Source organism: Homo sapiens, chromosome 12 (assembly GCF_000001405.40).
Source record: "Homo sapiens chromosome 12, GRCh38.p14 Primary Assembly".
NCBI classification, from domain to species: domain Eukaryota; kingdom Metazoa; phylum Chordata; class Mammalia; order Primates; family Hominidae; genus Homo; species Homo sapiens.
In genome coordinates this window covers 130,125,697-130,142,983 of record NC_000012.12, presented here as the reverse complement: position 1 = coordinate 130,142,983, position 17,287 = coordinate 130,125,697, and the positions used below count along the sequence as shown (strand labels likewise).

At 52.1% G+C, this 17,287-nt stretch overlaps 1 long non-coding RNA gene across 1 annotated transcript, besides 5 other annotated features; it reads right to left on the bottom strand.

Moving 5' to 3' along the window:
• Window positions 1–2,151: 2,151 nt before the first annotated feature.
• On the bottom strand, window positions 2,152–9,602 carry LOC124903088 (uncharacterized). The gene is made up of 2 exons (XR_007063615.1): window positions 8,414–9,602; window positions 2,152–6,521 (listed from the first exon to the last, which is right to left on the bottom strand). It is a non-coding gene; the product is annotated as an uncharacterized LOC124903088 (long non-coding RNA).
• Window positions 4,687–4,856: an enhancer, noted in NCBI's record as "experimental_25704 CRE fragment used in MPRA reporter constructs". NCBI's record gives its function as "activates a minimal promoter by MPRAs in K562 erythroleukemia cells, with activity observed for both the introgressed and non-introgressed 12:130622758 variant alleles {active_cell/tissue: K562}" and the evidence as "EXISTENCE:reporter gene assay evidence [ECO:0000049][PMID:34662402]".
• Window positions 5,641–5,810: an enhancer, noted in NCBI's record as "experimental_25699 CRE fragment used in MPRA reporter constructs". NCBI's record gives its function as "activates a minimal promoter by MPRAs in K562 erythroleukemia cells, with activity observed for the non-introgressed 12:130621804 variant allele {active_cell/tissue: K562}" and the evidence as "EXISTENCE:reporter gene assay evidence [ECO:0000049][PMID:34662402]".
• Window positions 10,691–11,208: an enhancer, noted in NCBI's record as "H3K4me1 hESC enhancer chr12:130616321-130616838 (GRCh37/hg19 assembly coordinates)". NCBI's record gives its function as "activates a minimal SCP1, AML or CMV promoter by ChIP-STARR-seq in naive H9 embryonic stem cells {active_cell/tissue: H9 hESC(naive)}" and the evidence as "EXISTENCE:reporter gene assay evidence [ECO:0000049][PMID:30033119]".
• Window positions 11,209–11,725: an enhancer, noted in NCBI's record as "H3K4me1 hESC enhancer chr12:130615804-130616320 (GRCh37/hg19 assembly coordinates)". NCBI's record gives its function as "activates a minimal SCP1, AML or CMV promoter by ChIP-STARR-seq in primed H9 embryonic stem cells {active_cell/tissue: H9 hESC(primed)}" and the evidence as "EXISTENCE:reporter gene assay evidence [ECO:0000049][PMID:30033119]".
• Window positions 11,726–12,243: an enhancer, noted in NCBI's record as "H3K4me1 hESC enhancer chr12:130615286-130615803 (GRCh37/hg19 assembly coordinates)". NCBI's record gives its function as "activates a minimal SCP1, AML or CMV promoter by ChIP-STARR-seq in primed H9 embryonic stem cells {active_cell/tissue: H9 hESC(primed)}" and the evidence as "EXISTENCE:reporter gene assay evidence [ECO:0000049][PMID:30033119]".

Below are 17,287 nucleotides of genomic sequence, written 5' to 3'. Positions count from 1 at the left end.
ATGGAGGCACGGATCGGCCAACACAAACAGGCCTGTTTGCAGCAGGCTCCGAGCAGGGTTGGCCCCACTGGATTGACACAGGGCTGTGTGGCTCGTCTATGTCTCTAAACCATGAAAGCGTTTTCCCTGCAGGTGCCCCGGCCCAGGGTAGCTGAGGGTGCTGCAGAGAAGGGCGCCGCCTCTAGCTTCTGATGTCTAACGCAAATGCTCCATATACATGTGGTGTTTTCTGACTTTCCTTAGAAGCAATGATGATGCCGGGCCCAAATCTCCACCCTTGGATGTTTAAAACTCACTCAGCCATGGGCACTTCACCAAAACAGTAGTAGTAATGATAATAAACTTCCCACTTCCAACATCCCTCTCCTTTGAAATCCCACTAAGCAGCGAGGTCTCCCAGCATGGCCAGATGACCAGACAAGGCTTATCACACCCAGAACCACTTAGCACCTTCCAGAGGGAACGGAGCCCTAGCTGGATTGAAGCTGCAGGGGAAAGGGCGGGAGATCCCACGCTGATGTTCCCAGGCCCAGGCAGGCAGCTCCGATTTGCTGGTCTTGCCCCCAGATCCTGTTCCATTTGAAAGATGACGCAGGAAGGAGACAAGATCACTCCCTTCTCCAGGGCGCTGCTTGGGTGAAGCCTGGGCTGTCCTGTGGGTGTTCTTTGTTTCTGTCTGGAGAAGACAGGACCGTGTACCACGGGTGAGGGTGCTTTCCAACTCTGCAGAGACTGGCATTCTAACACAAAGCATGCCCCTCTTACCACAGCACTGCAAGGCTGGCACCACCTGCAGCAGACAGCGCCTTGACAGGGGACCGAGGGGCCCTTTCTTACCGTGGAGGACATTACAGTAGTCGCGGGATTTGCACGGATAGAGGGAGGGAGGTGTCTGGGTAAGCCGTGGAGGTCCTCCTTCCTCACTGCCGTGCCCCCGAGGACACACAGGAAATGGCTCTGCTGACCCCTGGGCCAATATTAAAGCTGGGAACAAGAAGGCAGGACTCTAGGGCTCAGGTGAGCTCACCTAGAACAGCTTATACAACAGGTCCCTGCTCAGGTCCTTCCAAAGCCACCTGTGGCAAAGCAGTGGATGATGGCTGTAACCATGGGTGGAGGGTGGCGTGAGTTAGTGCCGCCACTATATGTCATGAAAAGCCTGTCCTAGGACACCAGGATAGAGGAGATTCTGCTTCCAGCCCGGTGAAGCTCCCCACTGAGCTCCCAGCCCTGCCCTCTCTCTGGAACCAGCCTTGGCTGCATCTGCCCTGACCCCCATCTTCCCTTGAACTTCTGTGATCTGCATCCCAGGGTCAGGCGGTGGAGTGTGGCCTGACTTTTCTGTTCCGTTTGACTTGGACATCGGAAGACATTGCCTCTTTAAAGACACAAAATATCTCTCTTCTTTTTTTGGTGGGGAGAGGGAGTGGTCTGCATCTCTCTGTGGAGTCTAGAGCAGGGTTGGGTAGAGATGCAGCCCAGGGATGAAAGACAGATGGCCTGGGCGTGCAGGCACTGGCTGCCTCTCTTGTCATTTATGTTAGTTATGGTGACACCAATTATGACCCAGCACTTACCGGTGTTCTCATTATATAACCCTACCCGCGCTTCCCAGGGGTTGATCCTGTCATTAATGCTCCCATTTCACAGTTCGGAAAACTGAGGCCAGAGAGGTCAAGCAGCCTGCCCAGGGTCCCAGAGGCAGGGCGGAGCCGGTCAGCAGCCTGTGCCCACTGCTTCAGGGCCGGGTTCCTTGCTATGTCTCTGGCTCTTAGTGTGAAGGAAAAAACCCTTGACGAGAGCAGTTTGAAGTTTGGCTTCTGAGCTGTTGTAAGTTAAAAAAAGAACAAGGGCGGTTTGCCGTGGGGTAGCTGAGGAAGCTGATGACCTAGTCCCTTTTATAATGCTGCCTTGAGACACACACACACAAAACACAAAAACACTGACTTCCTTCTGATCACAGAATTAATACACTCATTATATAAAATGTATAACACACAAAATACGCATACATAGAGAGAGTGAAAATCTCATAGGGGCCCGCCACCCAGACTCTGTGCCCTGTGACTCTGTGTGCCTCTTCTGGTTTTTTTTCTGAAAGCCTGAGCACCCCGATTATATATAATTTCCTAAGTGTGATCTTACTGTACATACCTTTCCATGGCCTACTTTATTTTTCAAGTAAGATTTCATGAGCATCTTTGCCCAGCAGGGAACATTCTTTAAAAAGGTCATTGTGGTGGCTCGTCGACGTTCCATTGGGTCAGAATTTTTAATGAATCCCCCAATGTTACTGGACATTTAGATTTTTCCAGTTATTTCCAATTTATTTTTACTTCTCAATGTCATTTTCAATCTTTAATACAATATAACATGTTAGAAAAGCCATCTAGCTTTGATTTGGTTTTCCAAAAATGCTTGGTGATTGGAGTTCCTGGCCCTAGAGCCGGAGGTTGGATGTGGTGTCTGGTTTGTGGCACGCACAAAGCGAAGCTTAATCCTCGTTTCAGTTCTGGGTTCAGAGTGCAAGCTGACTGCTTATCCAGTTTTGGGGTTGGGCTCGGAAGGTGGGAGGAGGTAGGCCGCACGCCACCCCAGTCCCCTGGCCTGATGGACAGGTTTCCAGAGTGAAGGGAGGTGCCAGAGAGGCGGAGACACTCTCCCAAGGACACACAGCAGTGATGCCCAGAAGGGAGCTGGAGCCCCACGGCCTACACCCTGGTCTGGGGCTGTGGCTGTGGCGTGCACGTCCTTGTCCCTTTGAAAGTTCGAAGTCAGGCTTGTGCCATATTTTTTGCAATCCATGACCTGTGAGTCAGCCCTTCTCTGACTTGCGTATTTGGAGAGACGTCAGCAAGCCACGGCCCCCAGCACAGGCCTCAGGAGCTGTGCATATTGGTTTGCACAGTGTCTCTTTCCATCTTCAGCAAACGCCTTTCACTGTTTATCCTTGCCACAGAGGGAAAAACGTTCCTGCAGGCAGCTGCTTCATGTTTCCCATTCACCTCTACCACCGGGAAAATGCCGCTTGAAAGGCCTGGGATGAAAATTTCTCTCCTAAGACTCTTTCCATCTTTTACAACGACAGAGGCGTGTTATGGCCTGAGTTTACCATAAACACAACTGGAAACAATATGACAGCCTGTGGGGACGTGGGGGAGGCGAGGGGGGGTGTCTGCGGAAAATACAGGGACAGATGTGTTTCCTCTCGCATGGACTCTGAGACCACAGTGCCGCTGCGAAACCCCTTTTTCCAGGGCCCCTTGGATTACAAGACAGTGTGCTGCTGGAAACATCTCTTCCCACAGTCATCAGTTAACCTGGGCTGGGTTAAGTGAGGCAGGAGGGCTTTGGAAAAGGGGCCGGAAGAACCTTCTGGGTGGTCCGCCTTGCGAGGGTGGGGCTGGGGCACCAGGGAGGTGTCAAGAGTCCGGTTCCCATCCCTCCCACCCACGAGAAACTTCTCAGGAAGGAGGACGTCGCTCCTGGCAGGAGGGCGTGCTCGGCGGTCCTGATGGTGGAGGCCCTGCCGGGGCCACAGGGTCAGTGGAAGCCGAGGCATTCCACACTCTGCTAGTTTAGAACCACAGGCAATGAGACCCAAAGACCTGACCACTCAAGCCCTTCCATTGCTCTACAACCCTGGCAAAGGAAGTGGCCTCTCTGAGTCTCCCATCTCTCACCGGAGAACGTCAGTGTGTGGCAGTCAGTTTTATGTGGGCAGGCTTAGCGTACCTGGAGACGAACCCAAGCAGTCATCTCAGGGTTGCTGGGCAGGTGTTTTGGGGATGTGGCCGATGCCTACAGCCAATAAAGGAGCTTGCCCCTGAGCATGTGGGAGCACATCACGCAGCCCACAGAAGGCCTTCCGAGGGGAAGCAGGTTTCCCGAAGGAGGAGAAATTCTGCCTCGTAGAAATCCTGCCTGAGGCTCCAGCCGCCAGCCTGCCTTATAGATTTTGGATTTGCCAGCAGCCACAATCGTGTGAGCGAAGGCCTTCAAACAAACCCTTCTGTATCGACCAACTGGCCATACCCGTATTTACACCGATATCCCCAGCGTCATCTATGTTTGCCTTCTGCCGGCCGCATCTCCGCACAGCCTTCATGGACGCACTGAGTTAGCCACTAGAGCTTAACGAGTCATCTACGTAACGCACCCCGCCCCATGTCCAGTCACAGAGGACACCTTGGGTCATGACAGTGACAAGGTCGACTGTGCTCAGCCAGGTTCGTTCTCGGAGTTCACGTGACCACACATGGAGCCCCCCCCCTCCCCAGATGCCAATGTAACGTTCAGACGCTGAGCATGGACCCTCGCTGCCCCCTCTGCCCGCGGGCCGCTTGCCGCCGCTCTGCCCTGCGCCTGGCCGGCTGCACACCAGCGGAATTTATTTTATCTTGATGAGCCTGAAATAAACTCTCCATTAGGAAAATTGTACATTTCTGGCAATTTAAGACAGAGAAAAAGAGAAAGAGAGAGAGTGTGTGTGCAAAAGCTTGACTTGCACTTCAGACAACTGTAAAAAAAATCGATTCCCGGAGCGTGTGTGGGGAGCTTGGGGAAGGAGCCCCATTGAACTAGGTCTTTGGATGAAAATTGTCCTGGTGACATGCTCCAGGTAAAATAGAAAAAGCCCGTTTATTTTCTTCTTTAACAATCACGCTGGATTCTGAAATTAAGCTCTGGGGCAAGAAGATCTCAAAAGATATCCCTTGGCCAGATGCAGTGGCTCACACCTGTAATCCCCCAGCACTTTGGGAGGCTGAGGCAGGCAGATCACTTAAACCCAGGAGTTCGAGACCAGCCTGGGCAACATGGCAAAAAAACCCGTCTCTACAAAAAATACTAAAAATAGCCAGGTATGGTGGTGCACCCCTGTAGTCCCAGCTACTCTGGAGGCTGAGATGGGTGGATCACTGGAACCCGGGAGGTTGAGGCTGCAGTGAGCCATGATTGTGCCACTGCACTCCAGCTTTGGTGACAGAGCAAGACCCTGTCTTAAAAAAAAAAAAAAAAAGAAAAGCAAGCAAAGAGATCCCGTGTTCACGTGTCATTAGCTACTGTTATCGATGGGGACCTAAGCCTCTCTGTTCACCTCCCCCTCCTTTTTTACCTCCCCATCTCTGTTTTCACTTCTCATCTTTATGCTCAAACTAGGTATGATTCACAGCCAAGCTGACTCTCCACTGTCTGGCTTTCAGACAAATCTTTGGTTATATTCTCACCCTCTTCTCCAAGACCCAGGAGCCACCTCCCCCTTTCCACCTGGCTATCATCCCATTCCCGGATCTGCACCCCAGCATCCAAGCACTGGGGCTGGCCCCTGGCCTCCAAGCAGCTTCACCCCTGAAGCTGCACGCGGCCAAGTCCGAGCCCGAGCCTACTTATTCTCCATTTCATGCAACAAATTTCTGGAGACCTGGAGCCTTTGAATCACCCACAGAAAACACCTTTCTGACTCAATTCTTCTGAAATGCCCCAGGACTGGCAACCGAGCCAGTGTAAGCTGGTTTCTGTAGCGGGTGTGCCCATACGCTTTCAGAAGTGGCTCACTGTGCACCCAGGGAAGGCCAGGCTCAGAAAGTAAACACACCGTGTTTCTTTTAGGTTTAAATGCGCATTTTGAAACACGGAGACTGTCCTGTTTTGTTTAATTGTTATTCAGTCGTTTGTGCTGCCAGGAGGTCAAATACAGTTCTTACCACCCGGGAAGCTGTCTGGGCGCAGCTGCTCTCTGGTTCAGGAGCTGTTTAACTGCACAATGACATGCAAGACGTGGGCATTGCATGGACCTGCCTCCAGGCGTTTTGCTGCAGGTGAGCCGCTGGCTTGTAGCTGCTTGCAGATCTCTGCCAGCGAGAGATTTAGTGCTTCCAACAACATACGAAAACTGGCCCAAAGGCTTTCGCCGAAATAAAAGACGGCTGTTTACCACGGTTTGGACAGTATTTGTTTGCAGATGTCTGCGAACTGTCCCTGCAGAGCCCGCCATCATTTCAGTTCATGCAGAGAAACCGCTCTCATTTTATTTACTAGATGTATTAGTTTCCTGGGACTGTTGTAACTGAGGACCACAAGCTGGGTGGCTCAAAACAAGCAACATTTATTCTTGCACAATTCTGGAGGTTAAAAGAAGTCCGAAATCACGGTATTGGCAGGGCCAGGCTCTCTCTGGAGGCGCAGGGGAGGCTCCTGCCTCGCCTCCTCCTAGTTTCTGCTGGTTGTGGCAACCCTGGGTTTGTGGCCACATTGCTCCCATCTCCGCCTCTGTCTCCACGTGGAGTCTCTGTGTCTCTTCTCTTATGATGACATCGGTCGTACTGGAGTGGGCCCAGCCTGCTCCAGTATGATTTCATCTTAACAATTACATCTGCAATGACCTTGTCTTCAGACACAGTCACATTCTGAAGTCCTGTGTTTCTAGGACCTCCACTGATCTTTTTGGGGGATGCAGTTCAACCCACAATAGTAATCCATGTTTTATTCCATGACTTAAAAACATAAGCTCCTTGGTCAAACTAGAAAAGCAGACAAAGAATATGGAAAGTCAGACACTGAGAGTGGGGGGGTCACAGGCACCAATGCCCGTCGGGGCCCAGCTGGGAGCATGAAGGAGGGTTGAGTCCTGGGTTAAAAACACCCACCCAGCACATCCAGCTTGGGTTGTGCCTGGGATAGAGTTGTACGTGCAAGAAACGCCCCAGTCTTCCCTAACTCCACTATGAGGAGACATTTCAGAGAAAGTGCAAGTGTGTGGGAAAAGTTGGCAGACTTCGGCTCTCAGGAACGGAGTATGAGGGAGCGGTGAGGTCTGTGGCAAACTGGACTGTCCAGGCCTCCTCTAAGGGGCAGCCCCAGGGAATCCCAGCCAGTTACTCCCATGGAAGAGGGTGGCCAGCAGAGCCTTGAGGCCTTGACTCCTCAAGGGAAGCTGGACAACTGGGCGTGGGAGTGAAATGACCTGATTTGTACGTCTTGGTAACAAAACAGGATTTGTTAAGAACTTAGGGTAGACAGAGGCATCTGTAGGCAGAGCTGAACCTCTGAGTGTCATTTTGTTTTTTCTGACTCGTAGAAAGGGGAAACTGAGGATGACCTGGCGGGGGGATTGTGGAATGCCTTCTGTGGCAGGCTTAGCCGTGGACTCCAAGACATCCAGGCCCTAATCTCTGAAACCTGTGACCATGTCACCTTCTACAGCAAAAGAGACTTTGCTGATGTGATTCACACAGCTTCACGTACCTCTATGTACATGTCAGGCACACAGATACACATGAACATAAACAGATACAGAAGCGCACATACACATGCCCACACATACACACATATCACCCAAATACAGATATACACATGTGCACACACACATGCACACATGTACACACACATCACCCAAATACAGACATGTAAACACGCACACACATATGCACACACACATAGGCACATACACACATGCATGCACATACACACATCACCCAAATACAGACATACAAGCATGTACACACACATACAGGCATGCACATGGATACACATCACACAATGCACATACATGTTCATGCATATACAACCACACATGTATACACCACACACATATGACAATCTGCATACCCATCTGCACACATGCACACAGATTCACACATGTATAATACATCATACACATATACACTGCACATACACATATCACAAATATACACACACTACACATAAACACACACGCACATATATGTACACAGATACACATGCACATATGCACCTACACATATCATACACATACATACACATGCATGTGCACAATCACAGGGTTAAGCTCCACACATGTACACACATATACACGTGCACACATACACACCTGTGCACACAGGCACACACAATTTACCTACATATAATACACAGCACACACACTTGCACTGCCCATACATATATCACAAATATACACACATACACAGGCATGCGCATACACACACAGATACACACATATGTGCATGCACACATCACACACATGCAAATGCATACCCATGCATGCATAACCATACATGTGTGCACCACACGTGTACACACATAAACACGGACATCTGTACACACATGCACACACACTGAATAACAAACATATAATACACAGCACACACACACACGCACACATGCACACATCACACACACACACCACACCCCCCGGGCCCCAGGCCTGCATCAGCAGGGATATGCTGGGGAGTGCTGTCGGTGTGCCTGGTCCCAGGCTTGGGGGGTGCATGCTGCAGAACTCCGCCTGCCCTGACCGCCCTGTGCTTCTGCAGCAGGGATAGCTGGGTAGTGGCGGGGGCACCCCATCGGCCTTGGCACCAAGAGGGAGTTCTCTGCATGAGGAGTGGGCTGGGGACCGTTGCTTGCAGAAACAGGAGGACCTGGTGGCTCTCACCTGGGCAGAGGGCGCAGAACCGGAGAACTTTGCCAGTACCTCACCCAGGCAGAGGGAGCAGAACCCGATAACTTTGCCAGGACCCAGCTGCAGCTAGGTCTTCTCCTCCGAATGTTCCTCCTACTTGTTCTTCTGCGTCTTTCAGGTCCCAGGGGAACGCTTATCTTGTTCATCTGCTTATTTTTTTTAACCTTTGCAGGATCCCTTTTAATGTGTTTTAAAGAGCAAGCCTGCATTTCCTGCCTGGCCCGGGTCAAGAGCCCAATTCTCCGGGGCGCCTCGTGGTGCTGGGGAGGGAGGAGCTGGCCCCACGGGAAGAGTGTGTGTCCTGGGGCTGCCGGCCTCACGCAACAGGAGCCTCTCCTCTCACCGCTCTGAAGGCTTCAAGTCCAAAGTCAAGGTGTGGGCAGAGAGGCTTCTTGTGCAGGCTCCATGGGAGCATCTGTCCCAGGCCTCTGTGCAGCTGTGGTGTGTGGTGTACCGGCAGCCCTTGGCGCTCCTAGCTGTGGTGTGCCGGCAGCCGTCGGTGTTCCTCGGCTTGTGGAAGCATGATTCCACTGCAGTCTCCGCCTGTGCCTCCGTGTCGCCCTCCTGTGTGTCTCTGTGTCTGCTCTCCTCCTTCCCAGAAGGACTCTCTCCCTGGATTTCATGCCCAGCCTACTCCAGTGCGCGCTCTTTTCCGTCCTTACCTTCATGACATCTGCAGTGTCCCCATTTCCAGATGAGGTTACATTCGGAGGAGGGCATGACTTTTGGGTGAACACTATTCAATGCTCCACAAAGAGCATTCCAGGAAGTGTGGCAGGGGCTCGATGGTTCAGGGGTGCTGTGGTCTAAGGTCCATGCTCTTCCCTGGTCTTGGCTTCTGTAAATGCCTGGCTTCCATCTCACCCCTCCCCGTGGGGTCCAGAGCACAGACTCCGGCGAGAAGTTGCCTGAGTTCAAATCCTGGCTCTGACGTTTCCTAACACGGGGACCTCGGAGATGAGCTGTGCCTCGGTTTCCCCATCTGTAAGCATGAGGAGAATGGCGACCGCCTGGACCTCACGGGCTTGCTGTGAGCCTGGGATCAGCCTGTACACATGAAGGGCTCCCAGCAGAGCCTGGCAGAGTCTCACTCAGGTGCCCACTTCCTTTTCCTCTGACTCTGGGCAAGTTGCTTGTCTGCAGTAAGCCTCAGCTTCTCTGCGGTAAAATGAGCCTAACAATACCCTTTCACAGGGGCACTGTAAGATCAAAGGGATCATTTCTAAGTGGCTGGCTCCCAGTCGAGGCGCTCAGTAAAGGTCAGCCATTATTACCCGTATATAATGAGTTCCTATTTCTGCTGTAACAAATCACCAAGCCAAGGGCTTAAAACAACACAGATGACTCACCTTACAGTCCCGGAGGTCAGGAGTCTGAAACAGGTCTCACGGAGCTAAACTCAGGTGTCACCAGGGCTTTGTCCCCAGGGAGGCTCCAGGGTGCGGGGGGAAATCCATTTCCTTTCCTCTTCCAGCTTCCAGAGGTGCCCACGTTCCTGACTCCCGCCCTCCATCCCTCCGACCTCCGCTTCCCTGGTCGCCTCTCCTCCTCTGCCTCCAGCCCTCCTGCCTCCCTCTTCTAAGGGCCCTGGGGATGACATTGGTCCCACACAGAATACCCAGGAAAATCTCTCCAGCTCATTTGCGAGTCCCTGTAACCCTGTAAGGTGACACAGTCGCAGGTTTCAGGGATGAGGGTGTGGACATCTTTGGGGAGACCCTTAATCCACCTCTCACGATCCCCAACAGAGTCTTCAAAGAGCACTGTCCCTCTGCTGTGTCAAACAGAATGAATAGGCCCACCAAGAGCTGCTCTCTGCCTGCACAGACGGCAGCCGCAGATCGTGCCTGCCTCCTGTTCAAAGCCACCCATGTTCTGGGAAGGAGGAAGGAGCACTCACTCGCTCATTTGGCCGGTCCTGCTGAGACAGCCCTGGCTCTGCCCAGGGTGCTCGCTCTGCCTTGCCCAGTGGCTTCAGGGGTCCCTGGTCAGCAGCTGGACCCCTCCCCGCTGGCTGGCCTCAGTACCCACACACAGCACCATCTGTGCTCCAATCCCACTAGTCTGTGGGTTACACCCATGCACCCCGTAAGCACTTTTTGTGTAAACTATTAATAAACTCTTTAAAAGCTCCCAGATGGCATCACATAGACGCATTATGGGTGCTCAGCCAGTCGGGCTGAATATATGAATGAATAAAAATAAAGGACAATGGAAGAAGTCACCTGGCTCTATGTTTCCTCTTCCTGGCAGAGGAAACGTAACTCACACAGGACTAGGGGAGGTCTGTGGATTCTAAGCACTCCTGCTGCTTCTAAGTGGAAGTCTGGAGTCCAGGGAAGACATCAAAAGTCACTCTAAGGAAGCTGAAACACAGGGTATCCAGTCCAGGGGCTTGGAGACACGGTGATGGACAGTGAGAAAACAGGCAGGCTTGGTTCAGCGCCTGGAGACAGGCAGAAGCAGGGAGCTCCACCTCCCATGGGCTGGAGGGACATCGGGAGGAGCTATGTCACCTGACTTGGGCCCATCCGAGCTAGAGCCAAGCACGGCCACCTGGACAGGAGCAGGAACCCTGGAAGACGCCTGTCCCATGAGGAAAAGCTGCCTCCGCAGAGCAGAGAGAGAAGGAGAGACACCGGCTTCTCCCTGCTCCTGGCCTCCAGATTTCTGCTGCCAGGGCCTCCTTTGTTTGACCCCACCTAGCAGCCAGACAGTGAGGGAGGCAAGAAGGGTGGTTTCCTTTCATGCCCAGCAGGGCCCAGAGAGTGTGGAGTGGACTCGAGAATGAACAAACCGCTCCAATTTTGCTGGGGAGGATCCCAAAAAACCTTTAGAATGCCCTCCACCCCCACCCCCTCACAGATGGGTGGGGTTGTGGGTGTGGGCACAGATGGTGCCAGGGAGATGGCATCTGTCTAGAGTACAGGAAGAAGGTGCCAAGGGCTTTCAGGATTTGGGGCCACTCCTGTTCTTTTGCTAACTTTATCTGGATTTCTCTCTGAGGAACCTAAAGTTCTTTGCACGTATCCCCTCATTTAATCCATGGAACAGCCAAATGATGCCCATTTTACAGACTGAGAAACTGACACCAGGGACACCCAGCTGGGACTTACATACACATGGTGCAGTTGCCAAGCCCTCTTTCCGCCTGTCTGGGAGGCCCTTGCCAGCTCATCCGATGGTGCCATTGCATGGCTGACCCCGCGGAGCTCTGGGCAGAGGTATCCAGGGGCTCTGCTGCTGCTAATCACAGCGTGGACTGTGCCCGCAGGCCGCCTGCACCCACTGTGAGCCATCCGTGCACACAGCAGGGCAAGTAGCTCATCTGCAAACACAGGATAGGCAAAAACGCAAAGGCAGGAGTTAGCACCAAGGTATCGGGGGCAGGTGAGAGCCAGGTGCGCACCCCCGGCCTGAGGGGTCGTCTCTGATGCAGGCAGCCAGGAGCAGACGAAGGAGCCAGCCAGCTGGCTTCAACTCTTGTTTTGCTTCACTTCCTAGCTGGGTGGCCTTAGGCACATTTCTTGTCCTCTCTGCACCTCTGCAAACTAATCCATCAAGTGGGGAATGTCATAAAAGCTGTCTTAGAAGTTGCTGTAAGTATTAAATATGAGGAAAAAAGCTAGAGAGCTTGGCACCTAGCACGCCCCTCCAAATCATGAACTTGAATGTCTTCCTTTCCACGCTCAGACCTTTCAGTGTCTGGGAGAGGGCCCGGCATGCAGGCTCTCCGTCCTAGGGACCTGTGCCTCCTGACGCCACAGGCCATCTCTTTTAAACACTTGCTATCTTTGTCCACCTTGGCTCTTTCTGCTCATGTCATGGGCGATGCCTACAGCCAGCGGACTGCTTTGGCTAACACACAACTTTCCAGTGGATCTCTTGGACAGATGTCTCCAGGATGTGACTTTTCCAAGACAGTCATCACCGGCTCCCTCTTCCTGCTTCTTCCTAATTTTTATGTGGGTCATCTTCAGGGCCTGTGGGTTCCATGGAAAGTCATCTCCTATCACGAGGAAGCTGGTGAAATTCCATGAGGATGTTTCAGCATGAGCTGTTCTTCCTGATCCTTTTCCACGGATTAGCTTTGTGTATCCCCACACCTCTACGAAGCTTATATTTTTATTACTATTATTATTATTATTAGCCTCCTTTTGCAGATAAGGAAACTGGGCACAAAGAGAGTAAGTTGTGGACCTGGGTTTGCCCAGCTGGTGAGTGACAGACTCGAGCCTCACATCCTGGCAGCCTGGCTCCACATTTTTCTAATTGAAATTTTTACAGAGATAATTGTAGATTCATAAGTAATATAGAGATCCCATGTACCTTTTAGCCAGTTTTCCTAATGATAACGTCTTGCAAAATGATAACACAGCCTCGTGGCTAGAAGACTGACCTTGATCTAGCGTCACTTTTGTTTGTTTGTTTTGGGTTTGTTTATTTGTTTGTTTTTGAGATAGGGTTTCACTCCTGTCACCCAGGCTGGAGTGCAATGCCATGATCCGGGCTCACTGAAACCTCCGCCTCCTGGGCTAAAGTGCTTCTCCTGCCTTAGCCTCCCAAGTAGCTGGGACTACAGGCACATGCCACCGTGCCTGGCTAGCGGCTAATTTTTTTTTTTTTTTTTGTAGAGACAGGGTTTCGCCATGTTGCCCAGGCTGGTCTTGAACTCCTGGGCTCAAACAATTTGCCCACCTTGGCCTCCCAAAGTGCTGGAATTAAGGTGTGAGCCACCATGCCCAGCCTGGCTTCACTTTTAACCACAACACTGCCTTGCCACGCAGGTTAAAAGGTTGATGGTGATTCAACTCCAAACCTTAGGTCCATCTGACCACTTGTAGTGATGCTCCATTATACTTAAGGCCACATATGAAAACTTTCAGGGGCGTTGAGTAAGTCACCTCAAAGACGCTTTGGCTTAGTGTCCCATCTGGGTCTCATCCATCCACCATCTGTCGCACACCATGCTCCTCAAACCAGCTGAAACACCACCTGCCATCCCACAGGCTCATCTCAAATGGTGACTCTGACCCCAACCCTCCCATCGAGAGGAGGAGCCTGTATTTCTTCCCCTTGAATTTGAGTGGGCTTGTGATGACAGAAGTGATGCTATGAGGATAAGATGCTTCTGAGGATAAGCCATAGACAGTAACAAAGCGTCCTCCTGGTTCTTTTGAAGATACTACTCCTGGAATCCAGCCGCCATATTGCCAGGAAGCCCAAGCTAGCCCATGCGGAGAGACCACATGGAGAGGCCACGTGAGTAGGTGCTGTGGTCAACAAACCAGCTGAGGTCCCAACCCGCAGACAGTCAGCCACAACCACCACATGTGTGAGTGGAGACACCTCCAGGTCTGCACTCTAGCTACTGAGTCAGCCCTGGACACACACGAATGCTCAAAGCCGAGGCCCCAGACCATGGAGCGGAGCGAAAACAGCCCAAGCATGCCCTGTCCAAGCTCTGGCTGCTCAGAAGCCATGAGTAAAATCACGGTTGTTTTATGCCATTAAGTGTAGGGTGTTTTCTTGTCTAACAACACCATCCTGCAAACACTTCTTGAGCACCTGCTCTGGGCCAGGCAGGATGCTAGGAGCAGGATGTCACAGTGAACGGCCCAGACACAGGTCATGCCCTGTGGCATCTCCATTCTTGTGAACACAGAAGATGAAAGATAGTCAGGGTTTTGCCTCTCTTCTTGCCAGGATTTGTTTTTGTTTCTGTTTTATTTTATTTTTAAGAGGGGGAAACTTGGACTCAATCCTTTTTGGGCTTTGATGCTCCTGCCAAATGAATTAGTCAAAAGTATTTTAGTCTGGCTGTGCCAATTTAGTGTAGCCTAAGCAGAATTAGCTGTGAGTCACCTTCTGTTGCTGCGCTGAAGGACTGACGTCCCCTGGGTGTGTGTGTTTGGCCTTCAGTACTGTAGCGTCTGACCCTTGAAAGTGGGGTGATATTACAGACACTGATGGGAAAAATGGGGTGGGGAGGGGCTTGGGCCCTGGCCTCTGAGTCTCATCGGGATCCGCACCTTTGGAGCCATTTCAGACCATCTGAACAAGGTCTTGGGGTAGCTGGAAGAGTGTAAATCATCGCTCATGGGAGGGAAGGACTTGGCTTGGGTGACAGTCACAGAGCTCAGCCGTGACGGGCGGTGCTGAGGGGTGGTGACCAAGCCACGCTCAGCTGGGAGCTTTGACTGGCATACCCTTCTCTCCAGCTGAGCAGAGGTCCTACCCACAGCGTTCCCAGGGCTCTTCCAGGGGCCAGCTGGGGATGGCAGTGGGCGGATGGAAAAAGCCGATTATTTCCCTGGTTCAAGGCCAAGGCTCAAGTTTGCAAACTCTGTGAAAACAAACACAAGAGTGAATGTTCCCAGTCCCAGCAGGACAGAAAACAATCAGGAGGGATTCCCAGAGGGCGGAACCAGGCCTGGGAGAGACCCCAGGGTGAGGTGCCCATGCCCAGGCCCAGGAGGCGGACTTTCCCATCGGAAGCAAGGGTCGGTGGTGACGTCCATGCCTCGTGCTGGAGTGACCGGGACGGGTGAACCCAAACACTCAGTGGGAGCATCATTTCTGCAAATGGCATTGCAGATTTTCAAACACTGCCTCATCAAAGGGCTTCCAGATGGCCTTTTGCAAAACCAGTGAATTGTCAATATTCCCACAGGAGACATTTGTTTTGACACTGAGCATCCATCTCTCCCATCTCCCAGAAACGGGGTTTTACATTTTTTCCGGGGAACTCATCTCCCCTTATCTCAGCCCTGTGGCTCTGCAGGGATGGTCATGTGCAGACCTGGCCAGTCAGAGCACTGCATCTCTTTGGCCACTGTGATTGGGTCAGGGATAGGCATGTGACCCAGTTCTGGCCAATAGCCACCAGGCTGAGAACTTCAGTTCACACAGGCGAGAAAAACAAGGTTCATTTCCACTGGGCTTGAAGCACAGAGGATATCAGCTGGGAAGCCTGCATAAGGGACATCATGGGGAGCAAACTGCCTGAGAATGAGGACACCTGGAGGAGAACAGGGCTGAGAGATGATTTTGACGATTGCATTTGAATTTAGCCGTGCCCAGATCCTTCTCCTGCCATCAGAGTCAATGCATTCCTTTTCTTTTCTTCCTTTAGACATTTGAGTTTGGTCTTAGGAACTTGCAACTGAAAAAGGCCTGGGTGGGAGAAAAAAAAATCCTATCTCAAAAATGATAGAATGGGTCTTCCAGGAGAATGTGCATCTCGCCACAGAATAGGGGGAAGAGGCATGAGTTCGTCACTGGACGAGACTCTATGGTTTCCCTAATGAACTACCGCAAATTTAGTGGCTTAAAACAAGCCACTAAAATAAGCATGTTTATTTTCTTACAGCTCTGGAGGTCAGAAGTTCTGCAATCAAGGAGTCGCCAGCTCTGTGTTCCTTGGGGAGGCTCTCAGGGAAGATCCAGTCCCCTCTTTTTTCAGCCACTAGGAGCACCCACGTTCCTTGGTGTGTGGCCCCTTCCTCCAGCTTCAGAGCCACCAAGTTCTCATCTCTCTGACCCTTCTTCTGCCATCCTGTTTCTCTGTGACCACAGCTGGGAACAGTCCTCCAACGTTTAGTGCCTCTGTGGTTAGACTGGTCCCACCTGGGTAATTCAGGAAAACCTTTCCATTTCAGGGTCCCTAACCCCTACTCACATCCACAAAGCCCCTTTTACCATGTAAGGTGACATATTCACGGGCCCAGGGGCTTGGATGTGGACATTTTGGTTGGGGGTGCCATTATTCTGCCTACCACTGTCACTCAATTAGCAGACATTTATTATGCACTTGATGTGGACTTCATATTTGTTGAGGGCTAAAGGGGTTGTAAAAAAGTTTTTAAAAATCAAGAAAGCTTGATGAAACACCCAGTGCAGCAGGCTGCACCAGTGAAGGTTTGATATTTTGGGAATATCAAGGGTGACAGAACGGCGTCTCCTGAACTTATGGGCAACCCTGGAGCTCCCTGTCGTCAGCTGAAACAAGCATCTCTTTCTTTCTTTGATTTTTACGAAAGACACATCCAAACGAATGCAGAGGCGGGTGGGACCCTTTCCAAGCTGGGCGTTGGAGCGTCTCCAGGTGATGCTTTCTCCCAGCCAGCTTCGCTTGGCCACCCCCACCCCTGCCCTTCCCTGCCCTGACTGCGGCAGAGGCCCAGGTCCCCTTCTAAACTGCGTGAGGCTTCCTGTTGCTGGGAAGCACAGGCCCCAAGTGGCTGTGAGGTCCGTGAGCCAAGCGTGGGCAGGAATGACACGCCCAGGAGGAGTCATCCGAGGTGCAGGGGATGGCCCGGAGGCGGGTGGGTGCAGCCCAGCCTCACCCCTGTGTGCGTGTGTGTGTGCTAAGGGCAGGCTGGGCTCGCCACACCGCCCTTCCTCCAGATAGGCCCTGCTGGTCACCAGCCACACATGACCCAGCTGCTCAGTGACTCCACCTCCAGGCAGGCGCTAGGATGGGTCCCAATGCATCTGGCATAAAATCCACACCCTGTGCCATGGCCCCTGAGAACCCCTGGTCTGGCTTCTCACCTCCTGAGGATCTCCTCCTGGTCCCTTTCCCAGCCCCCGTGACTCCGGGCCCTCACAGACCCATCCTCTGTTCCTGGAGGACTCCAGCCCACTCTCCTCCACCCTGCAGCCTTGGCACGTGCTCTTCCCCATCCCCAAATGCACTTTCCCAGGGAGTCCCACAGCCATTCCCCGCCATCATTCAGATTGCTTGTCACAGGTCACCTCCTCAGGACGCCTCCGTGATCATTCTTTCTAACATTCCAGGCTCCACTATGTTTTCCTATTTATTTCATTCTTTTTCTTTTTGAG